The following is a 25,974-nucleotide window of genomic DNA, read 5'->3' on the forward strand; positions in this document are numbered from 1 at the left end:
CTGCCTTGGCCTCCCAAAGTGCCGAGATTGCAGCCTCTGCCCGGCCGCCACCCCGTCTGGGAAGTGAGGAGTGTCTCTGCCTGGCCGCCCATCGTCTGGGATGTGAGGAGCCTCTCTGCCTGGCTGCCCAGTCTGGAAAGTGAGGAGCGTCTGCGCCCGGCCGCCATCCCATCTAGGAAGTGAGGAGCGCCTCTTCCCAGCCGCCATCACATCTAGGAAGTGAGGAGCGTCTCTGCCCGGCCGCCCATCGTCTGAGATGTGGGGAGCGCCTCTGCCCCGCCGCCCCATCTGGGATGTGAGGAGCGCCTCTGCCCGGCCGAGACCCAGTCTGGGAGGTGAGGAGCGTCTCTGCCCGGCCGCCCCGTCTGAGAAGTGAGGAGATCCTCCGCCCGGCAGCCGCCCCGTCTGAGAAGTGAGGAGATCCTCCGCCCGGCAGCTGCCCCGTCTGAGAAGTGAGGAGCCTCTCCGCCCGGCAGCCACCCCATCTGGGAAGTGAGGAGCGTCTCCGCCCGGCAGCCACCCCGTCCGGGAGGGAGGTGGGGGGGGGTCAGCCCCCCGCCTGGCCAGCCGTGCCGTCCGGGAGGGAGGTGGGGGGGTCAGCCCCCCGCCCGGCCAGCCGCCCCGTCTGGGAGGTGAGGGGCGCCTCTGCCTGGCCGCCCCTGCTGGGAAGTGAGGAGCCCCTCTGCCCAGCCAGCCGCCCCGTCCGGGAGGGAGGTGGGGGGGTCAGCCCCCTGCCCGGCCAGCCGCCCCGTCCGGGAGGGAGGTGGGGGGGGTCAGCCCCCCTGCCCGGCCAGCCGCCCCGTCCGGGAGGTGAGGGGCGCCTCTGCCCGGCCGCCCCTACTGGGAAGTGAGGAGCCCCTCTGCCCGGCCGCCCCCCCGTCTGGGAGGTGTGCCCAACAGCTCATTGAGAACGGGCCAGGATGACAATGGCGGCTTTGTGGAATAGAAAGGCGGGAAAGGTGGGGAAAAGATTGAGAAATCGGATGGTTGCCGTGTCTGTGTAGAAAGAAGTAGACATGGGAGACTTTTCATTTTGTTCTGTACTAAGAAAAATTCCTCTGCCTTGGGATCCTGTTGATCTGTGACCTTACCCCCAACCCTGTGCTCTCTGAAACATGTGCTGTGTCCACTCAGGGTTAAATGGATTAAGGGCGGTGCAAGATGTGCTTTGTTAAACAGATGCTTGAAGGCAGCATGCTCGTTAAGAGTCATCACCAATCCCTAATCTCAAGTAATCAGGGACACAAACACTGCGGAAGGCCGCAGGGTCCTCTGCCTAGGAAAACCAGAGACCTTTGTTCACTTGTTTATCTGCTGACCTTCCCTCCACTATTGTCCCATGACCCTGCCAAATCCCCCTCTGTGAGAAACACCCAAGAATTATCAATAAAAAAATAAATTTAAAAAAAAAAAATAAATAAAAATAAAAAAAAATAAATAAAAAAAAATAAAACATTAATAGTACAAGAAAAGTAAAAAAAAAAAAATAAATGTCATACAATATTTTTATCAAAAAAAAAAAAAAAAAAAAAACATAGTACTGGAGGTCCTGACCAAGATTGTGTGAGGTAACAGATGTATTAATTAGCTTGATTGCTATTATTTCACAATGTATGCATATATCAAAATATCACCTTGTATACCTTAAATATACACAATATAAAGAACATAAGAAAAAATAAACAGGAACAACAAGGTACGGGAAGTAAGCTATAACTGTTATCATTTGTGGACACCATGATCTCATGTACAAAACCAGCAAAAACTCATAATTACAGCTAATGAGAAAGCTTTGAGATCAATGGGTACAAGACCGACCTATGAAAATCAATGATCTTTCAGCAAGTAAATCAGAGCCATAATTTCTAGGAAGACAATTCTACTGTATGGTACCATTCCGATAATGAAGAAGAACCTTATTTACTCAAAGGCCAATTTAACTGGTGACCAAATTGCTAAGTGGACATTTTGATTAATTTACCTCCTTTTCACTATTTACTATTCAGTTTGGTGTTAGAATTAACCTATTAGATTCATAGAATTGGGGTGTTAAGCCCAGGTCTGAATTTGTTGTTGTTAAAATTGTCTTTATTAAAATTAAGAGCTTTTAACCATCAAAAGTGACCATTAAGAGACTGAAAAAGTAGTCATAGGTGGTAAATACACTGCAATGCATATATCTGACAAAGAACTCTTTTCAAAATATATTTAAAAATCATTTTTTTTCAAAAGACAGATAACTGAGCTAAAAATAAAACAAGCAAAAGATTTGAAGACAATATACACGGCCAATAAGCATAAGTGTTTAATGTTCACTAGTCATCAAGAAAACGTAGATCAAAACCACACTGAGATACCTCCATAACCTCACTTGAAGCCCCACATCCAGAAGGGTGATAACATCAAGTGTTGAAGCCCTTATATAAACCAGCACAACTGCCTTGAAAAACTCTTTGGTAGTATAATACTAAAGCTGATCTCATGCCTACATATGAACGAACAGACATACAAAGGAACCTCGTGATCTTAGGCAAGTTACTTAATATCTCTGAGTTCTCCTTACAAATGCACTTCCTGAGATTACTGAGAGGGTTAAGTGAGATAAAATATTATATGTTTCTGGCATATGGTACCCTCTCCTTTAATCCATGGATAAACCTTTTCCTTTTTCTTTCCTAATTACCATCAAGAACTTCTTTTTCTTTTCCCAGGTTGCTGTACTTAACAATAGAAAATTAAAAATTCCCTTTCCACAGTAAATGTACATTATTTATTTTAAACTCTATCTTCATATTGTCTAGATGTTGGTTTATTGATCATGAACTAACTTTCTAGCTTATTCCCTCTGGGGATGAGAATTCTACACCTAGATTCAAATACTTTTTTGTCTGCAACCCTAGTTCCATTATCAATTTTCTAACAGTGAGCCTTCTATTTCAGATATTGAAATACTTTTCAAGTTCTTAAAAGACCTCATGCTTGTCTCAATTTTGACTCACCCCACATTCTTCACCACCCAGGTGCTGCCCCACCTGCCACAGGGCCACATCTGTTCCAGGTGTTCATTTTATAAGACACAACACAATAGATACATACAGAGCTCTCAACACAATACTGCTGCAAAGAAACTCCAATGTGGAATGATGCACATTTAAAAATGTGTGGCATTTGAGCTATTCTTGTCCAGAATGAGACATCAATGTTTCCCACAATATGTAATACACACATTTAAAAGTTTCTTACTTTTTTTAGGCTGGGCACAGTGGCTTATGGCTATAATCCCAGCACTTTGGGAGGCTGAGGAGGGTGGATCACCTGAGGTCAGGAGTTCAAGACCAGCCTGGCTAACACGGTGAAACCTTGTCTCTAGTAAAAATACAAAAAAAAAAAAAAATTAACCAGGTGTTATGGTAGGCACCTGTAATCCCAGCTACTCAGGAGGCTGAGGCAGGAGAATCACTTGAACCTGGGAGACAGAGGTTGCAGTGAGCCGAGATTGTACCACTGTACTCCAGTCTCAGTGACAAGAGTGAATCCAAAAAAAAAAAAAAAGTTTCTCACTTTTTTGAAAGTTGGGTAACACATAAGTTTTAGACTTGAATGTTCTGTCCTTATCATCAAAATTGCATTTATTGTAGCATTTTACACAATTTGTCTCTTAAAATAAGAGCTATAATGTAACTGGTAGAAGGAAAGTGCACATTTTTCTGCTCTTCTTGGTAAGTGGAAGCGTTTGCCTCACAGCATCACTTGGATAATCAAGGAGGAATTTCTGGGCTTCATACACCATTTACTTTTCACCCCCGACCTCCTTCTTTTCTAGCTAGTAAATGTCATAGTGACATTTCCTTGTTTGTAATAACACATCATTTAAAGACTAACTAGGTCATTCTGCCTTTTCCATCAATCTTTTTCTTGACTTTCCTCAACTTAGGGCCCCACAACCCACAACCCCGTAGAATGGTAACTCATAGCTCAGTCACTGATTTTTTCAAATTATTATGTGGCTTGTGACATGGATGGTGTACCTTAAAGAGAACAAGACGTTTCATTGATACAGAATCACTAAAATGTGTGAGCCAGGAAATATATTTCGGTTTTTGCTTGTTTTTTTAAAAAACTTTTATTGTTTTTATAATGATACAGATTGTAGCTTTTTTTACTGTTACTATTTGATTCTGGCGAGTTTGCCTCTATTACCCTAAAGTCAGGGATGAGAAACTCAGCATGTGTGAATATTATTGAATTTATTATTTTGAATTTTAGTAAGTAAATGTCATTCAGCAATATAAATTTGCTAGATTAAAAAAAACTCATGGATTCTTTATAGAGTCACTCTTGTATCTTCACTGTCAAAGCTCTGCAGCATCATCATTAATAAACATTTATTGAGCATGTTTAATGGCAAGGTTCTATTGTTTGTTCCAGAAAGGAAAATACAGGCACACATAAAAACTTAGTTCCCAACTTTTTAATGATATAGCTGAGTAGATAAGATAAACATAAAATATATTTAGAAATAGAACATTGGTATTGGCTAGACCTCTGGAGACTACTTAATACAACAACTCAATGCAAGTGGCTAAAGTTTGGAGATGATAAAGCTTGTTAATGGCCACATAGCAAAAGTAGATAGCACAGCTGACAATGGGAACCTCATTCTCTTTGTTCCTATTTCAAGTCTCCTTTCCAAATGAATGGCACCAAAATGTCTAACCCCAGTTCAAAGAAATGAGAGGCTGTTATGTGCAAACTACCACTAAGACCGTTTTCACGAAATGAAAGGCTTCTACTGATTTGTCAATCATAAATGACAAAATTATTTAGTACGTTACATATGACTCAGCAAAAGAAGTGGAGCCTTACCACTCAAAATGTGGTCATAGGACCAGCAGCATCAGCATCATTTCGGAGCTTTCTAAGAAATGCAGAATCTTGGGCTCCACCCTAGACCTACTCAATCAGAATCCACATTTTAACAAGCACACCAAGATGGTGTGTGTGGACACTGATGTTTGAGAAGAAGCATTGCAACAGGGGGAGGATTTTATTGTGAAAAGGATAAGTCATTCAAGGGTTCCCTCTTTCCATAAGCATGAGCACACAAGCAATTGCAGTACGGTGTGTAAAGAAAATGAGATTTTTCCACTTTGGTGAGGCGACTTGTGTTTTTTAGGTAAAATAAAGTATCAAGTAAGAAGCTGTGTCCTCCACTGCTCTGCTGAAACCTCAACTCTGCCGTGAATCCTTTTAAAATCACATAAACCAAAATACATCCTCCTGATACACCCCCTGAATGTAGATAGCACTGACAATTTACATACATCATCAACTACCTAGGTGTTTTTTTCTGTTTTTTTTGTTTTTTTACATGAAGTTTTGCTCTTCTTGCCCAGGCTGGAGTGCAGTGGCATGATCTCGGCTCACTGCAACCTCCACCTCCCTGGTTCAAGGGATTCTCCTGCCTCAGCCTTCCAAGTAGTGGGGATTACAGGTGCCCGCCACCACGCCTGGCTAATTTTTTGTATTTTTAGTAGAGACGGGGTTTCACCATATTGGCCAGGCTGGTCTCGAACTCTTGACCTCAGGTGATCCACCTGCCTTGGCCTCCCAAAGTGCTGGGATTGCAGGCATGAGCCACCACACCACACCCGGCCCGGGCACCAAAAGTTAAAAGCTGTAAAAATGGTTGCCAAGTGTCCCTGCAGCCCAAGGTGACCTGTTACATTATTTAAAAAATAATAAAGGGTATGAAATTGGTTAGCGCACATTTACAATAATCCACAGGAAACCTCCAAATAGAGAGTGAGTGGAATTATCTGGCACCCTCATCTTTTGGGTGGAGGAAGAAGGGACTAAGGGCTGTGCAACTGGGTCAGGAAAAGGAAAGTACAGGTTTCCTCTCAGCACAAGCCAAAGGAGAAGGTGTCACAGAGCCATTCGGTGTCACAGAGCCTGAAACGGGTGCTTTGGAGAACAGAGAGTCCTTCAAGCATAAGCAATGCTACCTAGATCCCACCTGGAAAAATCTCAGGCAGCCCCATGTGAAGAGAGGGGACTGTATTGGAAGCAAGCTGTGTCGGTTCTGGTGATGGTGGGAAAATGTGGGTGTTTCTCATAAGCCAGAAGTGAACTACATGGGGGAATCCCAAGAGCCATTTTGTAAGGAACTCCACCCAATAGAGCCAAAGGACCAGAAGAGGGTAAAGACAGGAAGTGTGAGGATGTGTGAAGGCATCACAGTGAGAGAAAAGGCTAAAAGCCATCTTCCAACATTCTATGTGAGGGTCTCCAAAGAAGCTCTCCAAAAGCTCCCCATGAGAAAAAGTGCGGCTTTGTGTATTTGTCACATCCAGAGAGACCCATCACCAGATGAGATCCATAACCACCATGTGATGCTGTATCCTTTCTCTCATCTCTCCTCCCCCTGAACCCAACCTTGGAGAAGTGAGAAATTAAGACTGGTGAGTGCAGAGGAGGAGCAAGGAACATGCCAGGGAGGATTGACGAGTGCAGAGGAGGAGCAAGGAACAGGCCAGGGAGGACCAGCGAGTGCAGAGGAGGAGCGAGGAACAGGCCAGGGAGGACCAGCGAGTGCAGAGGAGGAGCGAGGAACAGGCCAGGGAGGACTGGCGAGTGCAGAGGAGGAGCGAGGAACATGCCAAGGAGGACTGGAGAGTGCAGAGGAGGAGCAAGGAACATAGCAGGAAGGGGGCCAAGAGAAGGGCCTCCTGTCTTCCCTTCCCCAGTGCAGGTTTCCAGACCCACAGCCGCTCAAGCTCACAGAGAGGAAAAGTTTCTCTCTGAATGAATCCTGAAGCTAATAATGTTATATTAGACTAGGCCGGGCATTTTAATTTTGTAAATGATACTATTTGTGATGCGAAAGAGCCAGAAAAAAAGCTATGTTATCTTCAAAAATCAGTGTGATTCTGTTTAGAACTAGACAGAGTTTTGTTCTAAAGGGACAGCTGGAGAAAAGAATAAGGCTGTTTTATGATTGTTCCTGGAGTCTAACTTACCCATATAACACAAGTGAATTCATGAAAGGGTGGAGATCATGTCTAATGCTTATTGAAGCTGCTAAGGTACTTTGCACATTACACATCATTTTCGTTAGAGCTTATTTGATTGCAAGAAAATAGATGCCTATACAAAGTAGCTCAAATAAAAACAACAAACAAATGTATTATGGATGTAACCTACATTTTCTGAGACCCGTTGGGCAGTCTGAGCTCTTATCTCTCCCAACTTGCACCTCTGCGCAATGTTACATAAACTACGCAACTCCAATTGCCACAAAACGCCCAAATCCAGCTCTATAACACATTAGTAAACCCAGAAGATTTCTATTCACACTTTTCTAAAAAAAGCAAGATACAATACAGTAACACTTCCATTCTGCTCCCCAAAGTATATCTCCTGGCTGCCAGCAACATCATCTTTTTTTCCTTGTTCCCTTTTGTCTCTTGCCACAAAGCCTCATAGATACCCTCTATTTTTCTAACAAATTCAGTTCTGGCGAGCTCTAACCAATACTAACCTGGGAAATAGCCATCACTCCCACTTCTACTTAGAAAATAATTCAGAAGAATTCAGAAGACCTTTTTTTTTTTTTTCTTACTTGTACCTCCTGGGATGCAAAGTAAGAATGCAAAGAGGCTTATAGAAAAGTTTGCTCAACAAAAACAGTTTTATTTGGTGGTAATGGGGAGTGAGAGTAAAAATGGGAAATCCCACTAGGAATTAATGGTTTTTCTTCATTTTCTGTCACTTTTACGTAATGGTACATTTCAGAACACTGAGAGTTGGAAAGGAAGTAAATGGAAGTAAAGACAAATTTCACATGACTGCATCAGGAAAGTGAGAAAGTGAGGGCGGGATCTTCACTTTTCAGGGCCTCATGATTTCTGTGATCTCTGCTGCTCTCCGCTTTCTCTTCTCCCAGTGGTCATCCCTGGGCTGCTCATGACCATGCACGGCTGTCAGTCTAGTATCTTATACAGCCTCCTTCAAATTCTCATTGTAATCTCTATGTCTTTGTTCAAGTTTCCAAAAGAGAGGATTTGATTGGCATGGCTCAACTAGTGGCTTTATTCCCCTGGGAGTGCTTGTTCAACCTTGGTCTGTATCTAGGAGAAGACAGAGTCCTGTGTTTCAAATAGGAGAGAAGAGACTGTGGGTGGGGTTTTTTTTATTTTATTATTATTTTTTTTGAGATGGAGTTTCGCTCCTGTTGCCCAAGCTGGCATGAAATGGCACGATTTTGGCTCACCGCAACCTCCACCTCCCGGGGTCAAGCGATTCCCTTGCCTCAGCCTCCTGAGTAGCTAGGATTATAGGCATGCACCACCATGCCCAGATAATTTTTTTTTTTTTGTATTTTTAGTAGAGACAGGGTTTCTCCATGTTGGTCAGGCTGGTCTCAAATTCCTGACCTCAGGTGATCCACACGCCTTGGCCTCCCAAAGTGCTGGAATTATAGGCGTGAGCCACCGCACCAGGCGGGTAGAGTCTTAATCCCTTAGAAGATAAGTGGCCTGGGAAGCAATGAATAACACCTGTATTACACAGATGTCCAACTGGCAGTTTATGAATAGGTTAAGTAAGAAATGTTGCACCACTACAAAAGCCTACATAGGATGGAAGAAGATATTAAAAGTTGCTTTATTGTTTTTATTTTTTCATATCATGTTGCTCTTTATGATTTCTCAGGCTTTTGACCATTGTAAAGGGGAAGTAAAGCTTCAGAGTTCCTGTACTGCAGGGAATTAGAATCTATTCTCTGTGGTTACAAATACAAATTAACAGAAGTAAACATAGAAAATGTTATGTAATAACTGTCTATTAAAACCCTATAGGGCCCTTGAGTTGCAAAGGATTACAGTTATCATGTGGGGAAGCGGAAAATGTTTTTTACACTGACTTTAGTCTGCATATTTCTATGACTGCAGGACATGTAACTAGAAGAGTAAGCAATAAGTCCTGTTATCTTTGGCAAGCCTTTCCTACCTAAACCACACTGACCACTCTTTCCCCTGACCAACCAAAATGCTACAATTTGGATTTATTCCTTTTCAGTGTCCCTGGGTATTTTATTCTGTTGTTTTCTGCCTTGTTTGTGCACACACAGACTCACTAATAAAAATAATAGTTTCTTAGTTATTTTTAAAGGAATAATAGCAAGGAGTCCAATGCTTATGAAGTATAGAAATAGTATTCAGCATTGGATAAATTAATAGATATGTGGGTTGAAGGAAGCACGGATCGATGCTTGCTGAATAAAAGATTGAATAGTATTCAATATTTATACATTTTTAGTTTGAAAACATTTCTTGATTTTATTAGCTTTTGACCATAAGTGATACACACGTAACTGTGTAGCACAATTTCCTCAGTCAAAAAAAAGGGGAGATAAATACTTACCTATTTACCTCAGTGGCTGTTGCAAGATGAAATAAGGTGACATTCATGAAAAAGTTTGGAAAAGTGGAAGCATGGAGAAAGAAATGTCAAATTGTTGACACGCTTTTCATTTCATAGTGTCTTCCAGTCTTCAGACCTCAAATAATTCATGTCAGATATGCAGAGTATGGGTTTGTCTTAGTTATATTTAACTTATTCAATATATTTAGCATAAAATTTAGCCTAATTTAAAATTTCTCATACATTTTAGGCCCATTTTATTTTAAAGTCATGATTTCTAAAATCAAAAGGTATGTACTAACAAATTTTCCCAGAGATTTTCACTTCTAGTCAAAATAGAGAAACAGGAAATGGATGAATCCTCCTGCCCGAAACAAATAAATCTTGTACAAACATAGGAAACAACATATTTCGAGACACTGGATATCAAAGAAAGCGAAGGAGGACACTGATTTCTGATAGATGGGGAGTAAATGAGGAGAGTCCCATTTATCCCGAGCTTACTGCCTTAGAGAGTTTTCAGACTAAAGCGGATGACGGACAACCTAGGTGGGGCCCAGGAGACTCTGAGCTAAACAGATGGAGCTGAGAGTCTGGGGAGAACAAGGCAGCTACAGTTTGCGCTAAAGGGTCTGAAAGAGGAGCAAGCAACACGGAAAGAGAGCTTTGGAGATCTGCTGAGGGCCCCCTGAAAATTAGCTGAATACAGAACAGGGCACGCATGAGAGAAACTCTCCAAGGTTGGGGAAAGAATAACCTGGAAGGACTGGAGGCAGTGGTGCCCTGACACTCACACAGGACAGAAAATAGTACCTGCTCAGATAAGCCACTCTCAAACAATCTCATGATTCATGGACATTTCATAGAATACGCAAAAGGGCCCTATTTTTGTAGTGGGGATAATTAGCCCTAAAACTGAGCATAGGGATAATTATAATCATAGTTAATTATAATTAATATTACATTTCCACCCAGTAAATCTTTAAAGCTAGACCTGAAGGAATCAGATTACTTCCAGGGGCCTTAACTGAGTACCAGAAAAATAGCTCTGAAGTAGGTTTAGGAATATTCGAATATCCAGCATGTACAAGATAAAATTCACAATATCTGGCATCCAATCAAAAATTACCAGGCTTGCAGAGAAGCAAAACAATACAAATCTCATTCAAGGATGGCATTTGATCAATTGAAATTGACCCAGAGCTGATGCAACTTTTAACATTAGTGGAGGTGGACATTAAAACAATTATTACAGCTGAATTCCATATGTGCAAAATGTTCAATGAAGACATGGACAACATTAACAAGACCCAAATCAAAATCCTAGAGAGGAAATGGATACTGTGCACAACAAAAAATACACTGGGTGGGATTCACAACAAACTAGTTATTGCAGAAGGAAATATTAATGAACTTGAAGACATAATAATAAAAATAATCCAAAATAAAACCCAGGGAAAAGAAAAATTTAAAAATGAACAAAGCATCATTGGGATATGTTAAAACTTCAAGCAGCCTAATATACATGCACTTGAAACCTGACAGAGAACACACTCACACACATACAGAGAGAGAGAGAGAGAGAGAGATACAGAAACAGAGAGAGACAGAGAGAGAGACAGAAACAGAGAGAGAGAGAGACAGAAACAGAGAGAGAGAGAGACAGAAACAGAGAGAGAGAGAGAGAGAGAGAAGTGGAAGCAGGGAAATATTTGCAGAAATAGTGCCCCCAGATTTCCAAATTTGATGAAAAGGATAAACTCATAGATACTTAAAAAGCACTTGCCTAACTCAAAGGTATTTTATGTTTTCTTCTAGAATTTTCCTAGTTTTAGATTGAACATTTTTATTTATGATCCATTTCGAGTTAATATTTTCATATGGTGTTAGGATATATCAAAGTTCTTTTTTTCACATATGGTTATCCACATTGCAAGCATCTTCAAAAGTCATTGTTGGCTGGGCATGGTGGCTCACAGCTGTAACCCCAGCACTTCGGAGGCCAAGGCAGGCAGTTCACCTGAAGATAGGAGTTTGAGACCAGCCTTGCCAACATGGTGAAACCCCACCTCTACTAAAAATACACACACACACACACACACACACACACACACACACACACAAAATTAGCTGGGTGTGGTGGTGCATGCCTGTAGTCCCAGCTACTAGAGAGGCTGAGGCAGTTTCAGGATCACTTGAGCCCAGGAGGTGGAGGTTGCAGTGGGCCGAGATTGGGCCACTGCACTCCAGCCTGGGTGACAGAGCGAGACTGGGTCTCAAAAAAAAAAAAAAAAAAGATTTATTTATAGACTATATACCCCTATAGACTGGAAGAAACTTTGCAAATATATAGCTGATAAAGACATTTATGAAAAACTCTCAACTCAGTAGAAACCAAGTAACCCAATCAAAAATATGTCAGGGATTTTCAGAAACCCTTTAGCCAAGAGGATATGTGGATGGAAATAAGCATGTGTAAAATGCTTAACATCATCAGCCATTGCAAAATACAAATTTAAACTGCACCAATATGCCACTAAACACTTATTTAAATGGCTCATATTGAAGACTGATTATCTTGAGTGTGGGCAAGGATTTGGGGGAACCGGAAGCCTCAGAAGCTGCAGGTAGAAATATAAAATTCTAAAATGACTCTGGAAAATAATTTAACAGTTTCTTTAAAAGTTGAACATATGCCTACTGTATGATCTAGCTGTTCCACTCTTAGGTATTTACCCTACCTAAGTGAAGTGTAAGCATATGTCCATATAAAAACTTGTACATAAATGTTTATAAAAGCTTTTTTGGTAATAGCCCAAAATTTGAAGTAACACAGATGTCCATCAACATGTGAATAGATACACAAACCATGGTATAGGCATACAATCAAGTATTACTTGGCAACAAATAAATAACTATTGATACATGCTGCAACATGAATAAATCTCAACATAATTATACTTAGTGAAAGTTGTCAGACTATAAAAGACCACCTACTTTAATAATTCCATATCTAAAATGTTAGAAAATGGAAAGTAATATATAGTAACAGAAAAAAAAGATTGGTTTTCCTTACGGATGGAAAAAGGTAGTGGAATTGTTAGGGAGAAACAGATCACAAGGGAGCATGAGGCACCTTCTGGGAATGGCACATATGCTCATTGCCTTGACCGTGGCGTTTTCACGGGTATGCACATGTGCACACGTCAATACTTATTAAACCGTACATTCTAAATATGCACAGTCAACTATACCTCAATGTACTTACTAAACATGGTATCCAGTGTTTGCAATATCTTTTTCAAGAACAAAAGAGGTAATAATCTTCTTTTGTCCTGCTTTTAAGACATCATCTCTTGACTTAGCTGACTTCAATAATTTATAACTTTATGCAATGAGTTTAGTACTTACTCACTAAATATGACAAACACCAATTAAGAGTCCCTGAAAAGACTAGCCTAGCAACTATAAGGCACCCTTTCCCTAAAGGACTTGCTGGAGGTCATAATTTTTACACTGAAGTCTAAAGGACATCTACTGGCGTAGGTTCTCCATTAAGTATGTTTTACTATGGGATAGTTTTTGATATCTATGCCAATGGATGCCTTAATAATAGCAAACACTCTGCCTATGGTTCTTTCTTTCTTCTTTACATTTTTTGAGACAACATCTCACTCTGTCACCCAGGCTGGAGTGCAGTGGCACGATCTTGGTCACTGCAACCTCTACCTCCTGGGTTCAAGCGATTCTCCTGCCTCAGCCTCCAGAGTAGTTGGGACTACAGGCATGCACCACCGTGCCTGGCTAATTTTTGTATTTTAGTAGAGATGGGGTTTCGCCATGTTGGCCAAGCTCATCTTGAACTCGTGGACTCAAATGATCCACCTACCTCGGCCTCCCAAAGTGCTAGGATTACATGTGTGAACCACCATGCCCGGCCCATGGTTCTTTCTAGGCTTGGAATATTGTAAAGTTGGAGCTTGACGTGACCCTGAAGGCTGGTTGAATGTCCTCAGCTTTCACACAGGTGAACAAAGGCCCAGAGAGAGGTGCCCACCCACCTGACACATAACAGGTGCCCCACTCAACCAATGCTAAGATCGAGTCTACTGATTCCCTGTTTCCCTCCTTCCACTCTACCTCAGTAAACCATCCGCCACTGGATGAGCTTTTCTGTATGAAGTCACACAGTTAAGAAGCTTCCACGAGGCCCCAGTGAATTGTCAGCTTTTTTTGGTTTATGAAAAACAAAATGAAAAATATGAACTTGTTCTGCTGTGCGCACATTTTGTCAGATGTAATTTTAAAACGTCTCATAATGCCTAAATGCCTTATGATCTCTTAATATTGCATTTGAAATTTTCCTAAAAAGGAAAATACAGACACTGAAAGAACACACACATTATGTCTCCATAATAGGAAAATAATACAAACTTTCTAAAGCCCTAAAGATGAGGGAGGGCATGCACAAGAAATTACATAACTTCCTCCATCTCTTTTGACTAAATCCATATTGCTGAGACTGTAATAAAAATATTAGATTTGAGGGTCCTATAAAATTCCAATCACTCTATTTCCTTCATGAGGTACAAGGTGTAAGATAATTGAAGTACTGCATTTGAGGTATAGCTTTTGACTTAAAAAAAATCCAACAAATAAAACCAGAAAAAACAATTACTACTCATTTACTGCCCTCTATTCCTGGAAACTTAACTTATGTATGAGCTTAGATTCATTTTATGTATTTTACTGATAAAATGAGGACAATTAAAATTTTAAAAATCAATAAAATGTAAAGCCAAAATAACATAAATAGATTTTCAGTAATATCCTGGAAGTCATAAAAGTAATTTATGTTCTATCCATTATATTAAACTTTCTGAAATACTTGGGGATGATTTAAGTTTTGGGTGATAAAAAGAATTTATTTATTTATATTTACACGGGTACTCTTTCTTATTTCTTCCAGAAATTACCAATTAGACAACTAAGCTTTCTTTTCAGAATGAAGAACAATGGTGGATAAGAAAAGCTATGAACTAGACATGCCCTTGCTAACAGTAAGTGTTAGTGAAGTGTCCTTCAGGCTGACTCACTAACCTTCATGATGCCCAAGTGTCTATCAGACGTGGCCCTTCACTGCGTGCTCAGATGGAGAAGATGAACCACAAAACAGCCTCGTATAATGGAATGTGCCAAAACCTAGAATCAGGCAGTGGGGGTTTGAGCCCTGGCTCTCTCATTAACTGCGTTTTGTTGGATCTCAGTTTTTTGAAATGAGAGGACTAAATGAAATTACCTCTAAAGTTAGATCCTAATTTTAAATATGTTATATTAGGGATGAAAGATTCTCCAGCATAGGAGGAACTAGACACTATGTGGAAAACGACAGATACCAATGGTCAGGATGAGGGAACCTGGGAATTCAGAAAGAACTACAGGCTCAGGAACAGGGAGGTGTAGGGATCAGAGTAGGTGGGAGGGTCTGATTCAAGTCCAAAATCAAGCTGGAGAATAGTACCTGCAACCATGAGTTATTAAAAAAAATTCCCTTCTTAGCAGGACTCTGGTTCTGTGATATACTCATGTCCATAGATGGTGGTTCTGAAGCCAAGTGTGTGAGAAAAGAAAAGGGGCAGGAAAAGGACCTGCTGTTATGGCAGCAACTGGTGAAACGCCGTAAGCCTTGCATGAGTTTGCCATGTCCCGTAGCCTGTGAGTCAGTGGCTGATCTAATCATTTAGAGGGAGGGCTTCCTACAGAAAGAGAAGAGAAAATAAAAAAGAGACTTAGTGAAGGTCAATAACAAAGCTTCATAAAGATATAAAGTCTTGAAGAGGACTCACTTGGAAAGTGGAAAGCACAGAAAGGGAATCAGTGCTAAAATCCAGGAGGGAAATTCTTTAAGCCATGAAGAGGAGGAGGAGGCTGCTCAATTCCTAAGCATGATAGACTGAGGAAAAGTTTGGAAATAGGATGAAATGCCCCAGGAGGGGGAAGTTCTATGGATCTAAACCAAAAGGGGCAGGAAAGAATAGAAAAGGAGACAGGAGGTATTTTGGCAAAGGGAGAGCATTAAAGTAGGTTTTGCTTCTTATGAGAAGACAAAAAAGGGAGGGCATGAAAACCTTCAGATTTTTCAGATTTGACAAGTGATAGTTTATCAAAATGTGAGTTTTGGAAAATGTAACACTGGGAAAATGAAAGAAGAGTAGAGAAAGAACTGACAGAAAATAAAAAAGAGACTGAGTGAAGGTCAACAAGAAAGCTTCACAAAGATTTAAAGTCTTGAAGAGGACTCACTTGGAAAGTGAAAAGGGATTCCAGAATTAAGAAAACTAGGCAGCCTCCAAATCTCTAGTTGTCCCCTGAGTCATGCAGGTGCTGAATGGGCTACAAGAGGATAAAAGAACAAAACTTGTATTTGAGTTGCCATCCAACTTAAGTGTTCATTAAAATGAAAAACAAATCATCAGAGAAACAAAACAGAATGCAGAGTTTCCATAACATGCATGATGCCCAAGATAAAATTCAAAATCACTCAACATACAAGGACATTTTAAACTGTGGTCCAATTTCGAGAAGAAAATACAGTCAACACAGACCAATTCTAAGAAGGCTCAGATGTTAGAATTATCATACAAGAGTTTTAAAGTGAGTATTATAAGAAGACTCCTCATTTATTAAACAGCAAAGATACTCATGATGAATTAAAAAAAAATCCAAGCAGAAAATAGAAATTATGGAGAAAGAACTAAGTGGACATTTTAGAATTTGAAAATGCAATATCCGGAGCTACGCACACAAACCACAGAATGCAGAACACAGAGGAGAGACTCATTAAATGTGAAGATGGAACCACAGAAATTAAACCTGAAAAAGAGAGAGAAAAGTATCTTGGAAAAATGATGAGCCTCAGAGACCTGTAAAGCAATATAAGCTGTATAAAACATACATAATTGTCATCTCAACAAATTAAGAATAGGACCGAAAAAAAGTTTGACAAGATAATGGCCACCAAATTCCGAAAGATGGTGCATTTAAAGATTCAAGGTGATCTTTGCACCCACTACGGTAATAAATATGAAGAAAATCATGCCTAGGCACATAGTATTGAAATATTGAAAACCAAAGAAAAATCTTAAATGCAGACAAAGAAAAATAATACAGTACATACAGGGAACTATGAATCAAATGACTTCACTTCTCAGTAGAAAAAACTCATTCTAGAACTCAGTGGAATGCCATCTTTAAAGTGCTGAAAAAGAAGTAAAAATCCTGTCAACTCAGAATTTTACATCCAGGAAAATACATCCTTTAAGGATGAAATCAAAGTAAAAATGTAGGTGGGATTCATGAGTAGTATTTCAAACACACAAAAAAAATGCATTTCTATTGAATCAAAATTGTTTTAGCTGATTAATCCTTTTTTTTAATGTCCTAAAAGGAAAATGACAGACATACAAGCTTTGCTATCCCTGTCCTTGTGGTAAAATAAACACTAGAAATAGAAGGTAAGAAGGCTATTAAATTTCCACAAAGTATAATACCTAGAGCTGGCAAAAGTCAGCAAACTCCTGTGGGTAGAGGCTGACACTCTTCATGGATCATAAGCAACTTCAAAATGCAAACGCTTCATCAGCTTTTTCACAGCATGAAAACCTTGAGAAGAAACACCAACATTTTACTAATTCATTGGTAGAATACGATGTTCCTCACCAGAAAATGGTGCCAAATGATGAATAAGGATTGACTTCTTGCCACATTCTAGGAGCGCAAATGGGTAAACAGGAGATATTACGATTATTAATCACTGCATTCATCAGAGAGGCACCAAGTGAGTCCTTGATCCTGAAGGGATTTCGCTAGTTGAGTTCAGATTGAAATCCACAGAGCCAAAGTTTTGCATCTACTCTTCATTGCAAAGAATCCGTTGAGGTTCGTGGACTAATAACTCATCCCTTTTGGCTTTGGAGACAAAGGTGGAATGAGAACGAAAACTAGAATGTTAAATATCCACCTTCACAAATAGGAAGCAGAGACTTTTGATCTCTACCCTCAGACAAAACGATTACTCTTTAAGTATGTTTCTGAATTGAGAGTTTTTTCGGACCTGGTGGAGCTAGATTCCTTGTTGGCAAAAATGGCTAGGAAAGGAATCTTACAAGCTGGAAAAAGTGCTCATGGAATCTGTTATATTGATCCTAATTATCAAATGGTGTAAATGCTATATGCATTTGTAGGCCACAATATGTAATCTGTATATTGTGTAATATATACACAGTTGTCATCCCAAGAAAGAATAAAATGTAAAAATATTTTTGAAAATAATGGTACAAAATCCCCAAATATGGTGAAAGAATTAAAGATTCAAGATGCTTAGTGAACTCCTAGCAGGATAAATATAAAAGAACCCATGGCTAGTCACATACAAGTCACCAAACATGGAAAATCAAAGATAAGGAGATACTCTTGAAAGCAGAGAAAAGAGAAAACAGATATGAAATATAAACAATTACAACATCAGATAGAGCGAAGAATTTTAGATAAAATGGGGTCTCAAATTATAAGTAATACAAAGAATTATTTTCAGGACCTATATCCATGCTTGATGTGAAGCTTTGTCATGTAATAAATGCTTACTATATGCAAACTGTTGCATGGGGATTTTCTTAACAATTATATGAGATAATGCATACATTATATTCCCCTTTTCCAGATGTGTAAAAATAAATTAAATTATGTCCTGCATTTGTTACTTTCTACTTGTGTGATTTTTTTCTGGGGTTGTGGGGGTGAGGGTTAGAGATGCCATCTTACTGTGTTGCCGAGACTGGATTCCAACTTCAATGATCTTCTCACACTAGCCTCCTGAGTAGATAGGACCTCAGGCACACACCACCATGCCATGCCCAGCTCTATTTGTGTGATCTTTACCAAGTTACCATTTGTCTCACTGCAAAGCCCATACTCTAACAATTATCCCATCCTACTCATACCCTCTGGGACCTGCTCCTGAGGAGCTGTGTGCCTATGAGAGGCGACCATGTAAAAAGAGGCTGTTGGCCGGGCACGGTGGCTCACGCCTGTAATCCCAGCAATTTGGGAGGCCCAGGTGGGTGGATTGCTTTAGGCCAGGAGTTTGAGACCAGCCTGACCAACATGGCAAACCCCATCTCTACTAAAAATACAAAAATTACCTGGGTGTGGTGGTGCGCACCTGTAATCCTAGCTACTTAGGAGACTGAGGCAGGAGAATCGCTTGAACCTGGGAGGTGGAGGATGCAGTGAGCCAAGATCATGCCACTGCACTCTAGCCTGGCAACAGAGCGAGACTCGGTCTCAAAAAAAAAAAAAAAGAGGCTGTGGTACAAATATTTATAAAGCACATGCCTCCCCTTAATAAAAAGGGTTTTAAAGTGAAGTCGCCTTGTCCTCCCTGATTTGGGGGCTCAAAGGTAAAGTAATGCCTCATCTTGTGTGGCAGGTCCTGCTGCGAGCCCCACACATGGATTAGTTTATTGAATCCTCATGAAACTCTTACCATGAAGGTCCTATAAAACTTAGGCATGGAGGTTAAGCAACTTATCCAAAATGACACTGGTACCTTAGGATCCCAAAGTCCAAGCTTTGGACAGCTATGTCTGCTGCTTCCAGAGACTGAAGCACTGATAATACTTGTCTTGATGTCTAACGTAATACATACTGATACAAGGAAATTTCCCTTTCAGAAAAGCTCTAAGCAAAGAAACTCAATCCAAACCTTTGCTTTCTCTTCAAACCTGAGGCTGAAAGGAGAGGCCCTACTTTGGCTGGAGTTAACTACTCAACTGGGTGTCCTTACTTTCTGCTCAGAAGGTGAGTGCCATCTTCCAAAGCTAAAGTTGAACAGTCTTATGTTGGTAGTTTACATCTTCTGTAAAACTTAAGTTTGTATTCTTTGCTCAAGAATGAATACCACTTACAAGTTTCCAGGAGCCAATTCCAGAGGACTATCACTTCAGGAGGTTTCCTCTCAGGACCAGTGGCTCCTGCCTCTACTGGGGCCAACAGTGTGGTGGATTACCCTGTGATCCTCAGCAGCTGTTAGCAGGTGGTCAGGTGCCCCCATGCTCAGGAGAAAGGAGGCTGCAACAAGGACCTCTTCTTTCCAAATTCTAGGGCTTCAATAGGCAAGAATGAACCTAGCAATAAATAACACATCTAAAAGAAGGCTAACACATCTAAAAGGTGAATAACCATCTAAAAGAGACAACCAATGTTGCTCAAGAAATATCTGCACAAGAACAAATGATAAGAATTTGCCAAATGTAAATTGCTACACCAGTAATCAGTAAATGAATGAGACCAAACAAAAGTGAGTCCAGCTGGAATATTTTCCTAAGAGGCTGATGCCTTTCCTTCCACCAAAGTCGTATATGCTATATATACGATGGAAAAACAACTGTTCCAAAACATCTACTAAACTGACATTGTTGAGTTTTATATTTTATTGGAAAAATACTGTGACCTAAATGTCACATGGTCCATCCAGCACTTCCCAGTGTTGACTGTTGACTCCTGCTACCAGCTCATCCCTCATCCACTACAGAACTTTCACCAACACGTCACCTCCAATCATTTCAGTCTCTCATGTTATCGCACCACAGCAACCTACAAGACAAACTCCAAAGCTGCAAACTTTGCAGGCAAACAACAACTTAAGTGTGTTCTTCTTTGAGAAAAGGAACTGAATATTTTTTTTCCTTCTAGCTAATGGATTTCACCATCATCTCACTTTAGGCCATCAAAGATTTTAAAGAACGAAGGATAGGGTATGACTAGAACTGCATGTTGGACAGTGAAGGCAATGTCTAAGTTCATATTGCGGCTCTCCGTTCTCATATTATTGGAACTTAATAGGGGTTTACCATGTTTATTAAATGGATGATTGATGACTATTGAATTAATATGATTCATTGGAGCAAGTATTTGTTGGACACCTGATAGGTATGTAAGGTGATCCCTAACTCATGATTAACAGGTTTCCTAGTACCTTTTAAATTGTTGGTGTGTGTTCCAACACTTTCCAGAAAGTTTTATTGGTGGCAATACTCTACAGTCCAATTCTTCCAAGAAGCCACTTTAATACTGGAGCCAAAGACATTTCTTAAAGAAAATTCCTGAATGATCTTCTGAACTCCACAGATGTCTCTACTATATTATCACTGATGGGTGAAACTTTATTTTTAATTGAAAAATTTTATATCAACTACTCTGTATTAAAATACATTTCCTGTAGATATTAAGTAATGTAAATGTGAAACATATAACTACTCAAATCATAGTGAGAACAGAGATCAGAGAAATGACTTGCTGATTCAAATATTTCATCATGATCTGATAGAAGAAAATGCTTGATATTACTTACTCAGTTGAATAAAAGCATTCAACCTTAAATCCTCATCTTACATAACTCAAACAAAACAAGAATTCCTTTATCTGCCAAGTGAATCCAATATCATTACTCACTTCAACTCCGAACAAGTAGATAGTGTTTGGAGTTGATATTGTGGGCTAATACATGCCCCAAACCCCAACAAGTAGATTTTAATGGGAATATTTTTCCAATAAGAGCTAATAAATATATATGCCCTTACATAAAGTGTACACACAAAAATAGGTGTCGAAAATAAGATGACAGAGTAAAGCATAAATTCAGTCTGCATATCAAGGACTAAGCTCCACAGTGCTCGCCTTTTTTCGGTTTAAAAAAATATATAAATATTCGAAAATATTTTAAAGTTCATTGTTACATGCATTGCTGTGCGGCTTCCCTATGTAACCCGGGTAAGGAATTTCCTCGCTAATTCATCACAACCTAAGCGGAATGGCAGATAGGTGAGGCGTATTGAGCATGGCCAAGGGTGGCCGGGCCCCACAGGATCCGTGCGAAATCCGGAACCTCGCTGGCGATCTGGGTTTTTTGCGCGTGGGAGTAAACATTTCCCAAGTCCCTCACACTCTGGGCTGCTAGTGAGGTTCTGCCAGAATTCCTTAGGCCGCCGCCCACTCCCCTTTCTCTGAACGTCACTAATTTCCTGGAAATAATTCCAGGCACGCATCGCTCCATTAAAGTTAATGAAGCACGTGTCCGTGACAGCAGCCAGCGCCAGCGCCCGCGGGAGAGCCCCGCGCGCGCTTCCCGGGAAAGAGCTCCTCTGCAAGCTCTGGCCCAGGGGGGTCTGATTGTGAAAGGGGGAGGGGCTCTGCCTCCCAACGCCGACCTCTTCTCTCGAAAGCCTCGCAATCATGGGAAACAGCTGCACCTGCCAGCCCAGCCGCAAAGCAGGGTAGGATCTCCAGCCCCAGGGTGGCCGGCGGGAGCGGATGCACGGGCAGAGCCCTGCTGCTGGCCGCGGGTCTACAAAACAGCATACGTTCTCTCAACCCCTGCGATCCGCCAACCATCCTCAGTCACCGACCCCTGCAAGGGATGCAGACGCACCAGCGGCTGCTCACACTCCCTCCACAAACCTGCCGGAGTCTCCACTCGCCCGCCAACTGTAGCCTCCATCTGCGCCCCACGCCCCCGCACAAGCCCCCTCCGTCGCGGGTCTCTTACCTTGTGGCCTTTCCCCGGGGGATACCTGACGCTATTGGAGACTCCTGCGGTTTGATTCATGTCCAGAGGAAGTTGAGGGGCCCAGATTCTCTACCTTCAAAACTTCCTAGGCGCGTGGAGGGTGGCGACAGAGGTGCGCGCCTCGGGGGAGACGCGAGGTGGGTCCTCCTTCTGCAGCCGAGTCTGGGCGAGCGCGAGGGGAGCCTCCACGCTGCAGGCTTCTGTGCAGGGGCGGTAAAATCCGCAGCCCAGAGCTGGAGAAGGAGAAGCAGCTGCTGGGACCCCGGAGGGAAGCCGGGCCGGCGCCAGCGGCTCCGAGGGCGCTCTGCCCAGTGCTGCCTCCCCGGGAAACAGTTCAGGACGCTCAAGACCAGAAGCGGGAGCAAACCCAAAAGGAGCTCCAAGGAGGTGTGTGTGGGGAGAGCCAGGGGGACGCAGGACTAGGCTCTTTCCTGCGCAAGGGGTGGGGAAACCCGCGAAAGCCAGGGAGTCGCGCGCACTCACGCCCTCCCGCCACCAGGGCAGAGCCACCGCTGCAAGGAGCCCACGGGTGCGCGCTCCGCTCCAGGGCGGATCTTTCCACACCCCCCTCACCCTCAAAAGCTCAGGCTGGAGCGGTCATCAGTGCGGACTCCGGCACCCCACCCACCCAGCAGGGGTTAAGGAGGGACTGGTGCCCACTCTTGCCTACAGCTCCTGCGCAGGGCTCCAGCCGCCAAATCTTCCCGGGATGGTCGGGAGGTGGCATAAGAGGTTTTGCCAGGAACCACTGCACAGGCGAAAGAGAGACAGTGGAGTGGGCGGAGGAGGAGCTGGGACGGCACCCGGGCTCGTTAGCCCAGGCTGCACGAGCTACAGCGGAGGGATGCGAGCGCTCTGTCAGTTGAGCAGGCGCTGCGCGCGGAGGCCCGGTCGGTGCCATTGGTTGGCGGCCCAATTGGCTTGACCAGGGCGGTATTTGGGGAAGGGCAACAGAGTACATCCATTCCTTTCTGCAATAGAAGTCTCTGCAGCTTCCCAAGAGTTTTTTTTTCTTTCTTTCTTTTTCTTCGTTTCCTTCTTTTTCTTTTGGCACCTGTGAAGTCATGATCTAATTAGTCAACATTTAGACACAGGTGAAAAGAAATTGACCCCAGGGAACCAGGAAAAATCAGTCAAAAAAGAGCAGCTGCTTCATGAAGACTGCATTGCAACATTCTAGGATCACAAGTCTGAACAGGGGACCAAGGGCACGTTAGGATACAGCCATATTATTTGACAAAATGTTAAATTTTATCCAGGCAGATATAGTTGAGTTTGAATATTCTGAATGGGAATCAAACCACATAATTTGGTTTCTATTTCACCATCCCAAAATCTTGGTTTTAGCTTGTATAAATTGAAGGAAGAAGTTAGACTAATTTATGAGGACCAGAGCTGCACTTTCTTCCTCAAGTGCATTGGCTTGGTAACAGAAGTACATCCCCTTGGCCGGGCACGGTGGCTCACGCCTGTAATCCCAGCACTTTGGGAGGCCGAGGAGGGCGGATCACGAGGTCAGGAGATTGAGACCATCCTGGCTAACACAGTGAAACCCCGTCTCTACTAAAAATACAAAAACAAAATTAGCCAGGCGTGGTGGCGGGTGCCGGTAGTCCTAGCTACTCGGGAGGCTGAGGCGAGAGAATGGCGTGAACCCGGGAGGCGGATCTTGCAGTGAGCCGAGATGGCACCACTGCACTCCAGCCTGGGCAACAGAGAGAGACTCCGTCTCCAAAAAAAAAAAAAAAAAAAAGTACATCCCCTTACATTGTCCATTTAAAAGTAAAAGGGAGATTTATTTTAGTTCTTCCGTTATTTGCTGATATTCATGGTCATTTCTTTAATGTTCCCAACTCCAAGTTGGAATAATCCCCATTTTGTAAAACAAATTATTGTGTTTGGTTGCTTTTGGCTGCTGAAGACATTCAAAAGCAACTCCTGAGATGAATATGAAGGCTCAGCTTGGAGATCAGCGTAATGCAGAGCTTGGCTGTGGATGCAGATGCTGGTTGGAATCTTGGCTTTGCCGCCTCCTAGTGCACATCCTTGGGCAAATTATTTCTCTCATTTATTCTTACATTTGTAAGGTCGGTGTTATAGCTGCACCTTTCCACGTGAGGAAACTGAGGCTCAGAAATACTAATGTGCAGCAGGTGCTTCGCATAGTAGTAGGTGTTCATCAGCCGTTACTACCAACTGCCTGCAACAATTGCTAGCACTTCACATTAATTTACAGACACTATTGCTCAATTCCAATTTTCTGGCTAACAACTACTCATGCATTTATCTGTGATTACTTGTGTATTTTCCTTCTCCCACTTTGACTGTGAGCTCCATTATAGTGGAAGAGAGGGCCCTTGAGATGGATTGAAGGGAGCAGGCTGAGCAGTGGCCCTGAGAGGAGCTCATCATGATCTCGAGCTTGATGACTCACCCTCGCGTTAGGAAAGACATTTCATTAATCAAGCTTGAACACTTTGCACAGAAAAAGATAAGAAAGATGCTGTTGATGTCTAATTGATTTTATGTCACTTATGTGACAATATGTTTGACTTTGACGTAATCAGTTATGATTTAGTAAAATAACAGCAATTTTTTCTTCCATGGCACGAATAGTTTTCTTCCTGAAATTTCCTGCATTGTGAATTTGGGGTTTCACTATGTTTTCCTTTGCTTTCTTTTATGCCATCTCCTTTTTTAAAAAAATTGTGGTATAATGTATAGTAAAATGAACAGATCAGTTTTGACAGTTATGTATATTTGTATAATCCATACCCCTGTTAAGACAGGTTACATTGCCATCACCCCCCAAAGGATGTTTATTCCCGATAAACTACCCCCATAATCAACAACTGTTTGGATTTTATCACCATAGACTAGCTTTGCTTATTCTAGAATTTCAAATAAATGAAGTCATGCATTATGAACTCCCTCACTGAATGCAATGTTTATGAGGTCCATCATGTTTTTGCATGTCTCAGCAGTTCATTTTTTATTGTTAAATAATATTCTATTGTATGGATGTACCATTATTAATTTATCCATTCTCTTACAAATGATTACATGTGTTAATTCTAGTTTTCAACTATTTATGGATCAAGCTGCTTTAAATGTTCATGTACAGGGTTTTTCTTTGTGAACTCACACTTTCATTTATCATGTATTGATATGTGGAAGTGGAATTATTAGATCCTAAGGTAGATGCAGGGTTTTTTTGTTTGTTTGTTTGTTTGTTTTTAGAAACTGCCAAATCATTTCCCAAGACGTTAGTACAATTTTTAAACTCCTTAGGTATCTATTATTGCATAGCAAATAGAGATGCTACTTGACTTACAATGGAGTTACAACATGATAAACCCATCATAAGTCCAGATGTTCCTGAACTAACGAGTTACAGCATGATAAATCCATTATAAAGTCAAAAAATTGTAAATCAAAGTACAATAAGTTGGGGACCATCCATAATTTGAAAACATGAAGGTTTTAAACAAAGCACATCTATTGTCTCAGAGTTTCTGAGGATCTTGAATCCAGGCATGGCTTAGCTCTGTCCTCTGCTTCAGGGTATCTCACTAGACAGCACTCAATTTTTCATCTGGGGCTGTAGTCTCATCAGAAGGCTCTACTAGGGAAGGATCTGCTTCTAAGTTAACTCGTGTGTCTCTTGGCAGAATTCAGTTCCTCAAAGGCCTCTAGAGAGAGGGCTGCAGTTCTTTGTTGCCACTGGTCAGAGGATACTTTCATTTTCTTGCCATGTGAGTGTCACCAGCCAGTGTCATCAGGGCAAGCACTCAAGAAGAGCCAGAGAGTACAAGCAAGATGGAAATCACAATCATGTATAACCTGATCTTGGAAGTGACAGTTCACCACTTATGCTTTATTCAATTGATTAGATGCAAGTCACTAGGTTCATCCCACACTCA

At 41.7% G+C, this 25,974-nt stretch overlaps 1 protein-coding gene across 15 annotated transcripts in view, besides 2 other annotated features; it reads right to left on the bottom strand.

Moving 5' to 3' along the window:
- ACTR3C (actin related protein 3C) overlaps positions 1-25,974 on the bottom strand; it is a 442,186-nt gene that overhangs the window by 316,855 nt on the left and 99,357 nt on the right. For 3 of the 15 annotated variants that reach the window (NR_147016.2, NR_147017.2, NM_001351030.2), the window contains exons 1-2: positions 22,712-22,886; positions 22,031-22,284 (exon numbers count right to left, since the gene is read on the bottom strand). The exons of 6 other annotated variants lie outside the window; for them this stretch is intronic. Coding sequence is in view for 3 of the 9 variants with exons in the window: in NM_001351030.2 (NP_001337959.1) it covers positions 22,031-22,090 (60 nt within the window). In the remaining 6 variants the exon portion in view is untranslated. Of the gene's footprint in view, positions 1-16,087; positions 22,285-22,624; positions 22,887-25,974 lie in introns of those variants that run through there. 6 more of the 15 variants (NR_147014.2, NM_001351029.2, NR_147018.2 and 3 more) reach the window with 4 other exon arrangements.
- Positions 22,135-22,669: an enhancer, noted in NCBI's record as "H3K27ac-H3K4me1 hESC enhancer chr7:149917438-149917972 (GRCh37/hg19 assembly coordinates)". NCBI's record gives its function as "activates a minimal SCP1, AML or CMV promoter by ChIP-STARR-seq in naive H9 embryonic stem cells {active_cell/tissue: H9 hESC(naive)}" and the evidence as "EXISTENCE:reporter gene assay evidence [ECO:0000049][PMID:30033119]".
- Positions 22,670-23,204: an enhancer, noted in NCBI's record as "H3K27ac-H3K4me1 hESC enhancer chr7:149917973-149918507 (GRCh37/hg19 assembly coordinates)". NCBI's record gives its function as "activates a minimal SCP1, AML or CMV promoter by ChIP-STARR-seq in naive H9 embryonic stem cells {active_cell/tissue: H9 hESC(naive)}" and the evidence as "EXISTENCE:reporter gene assay evidence [ECO:0000049][PMID:30033119]".

This window comes from Homo sapiens, chromosome 7 (genome assembly GCF_000001405.40).
Source record: "Homo sapiens chromosome 7, GRCh38.p14 Primary Assembly".
NCBI lineage: Eukaryota > Metazoa > Chordata > Mammalia > Primates > Hominidae > Homo > Homo sapiens.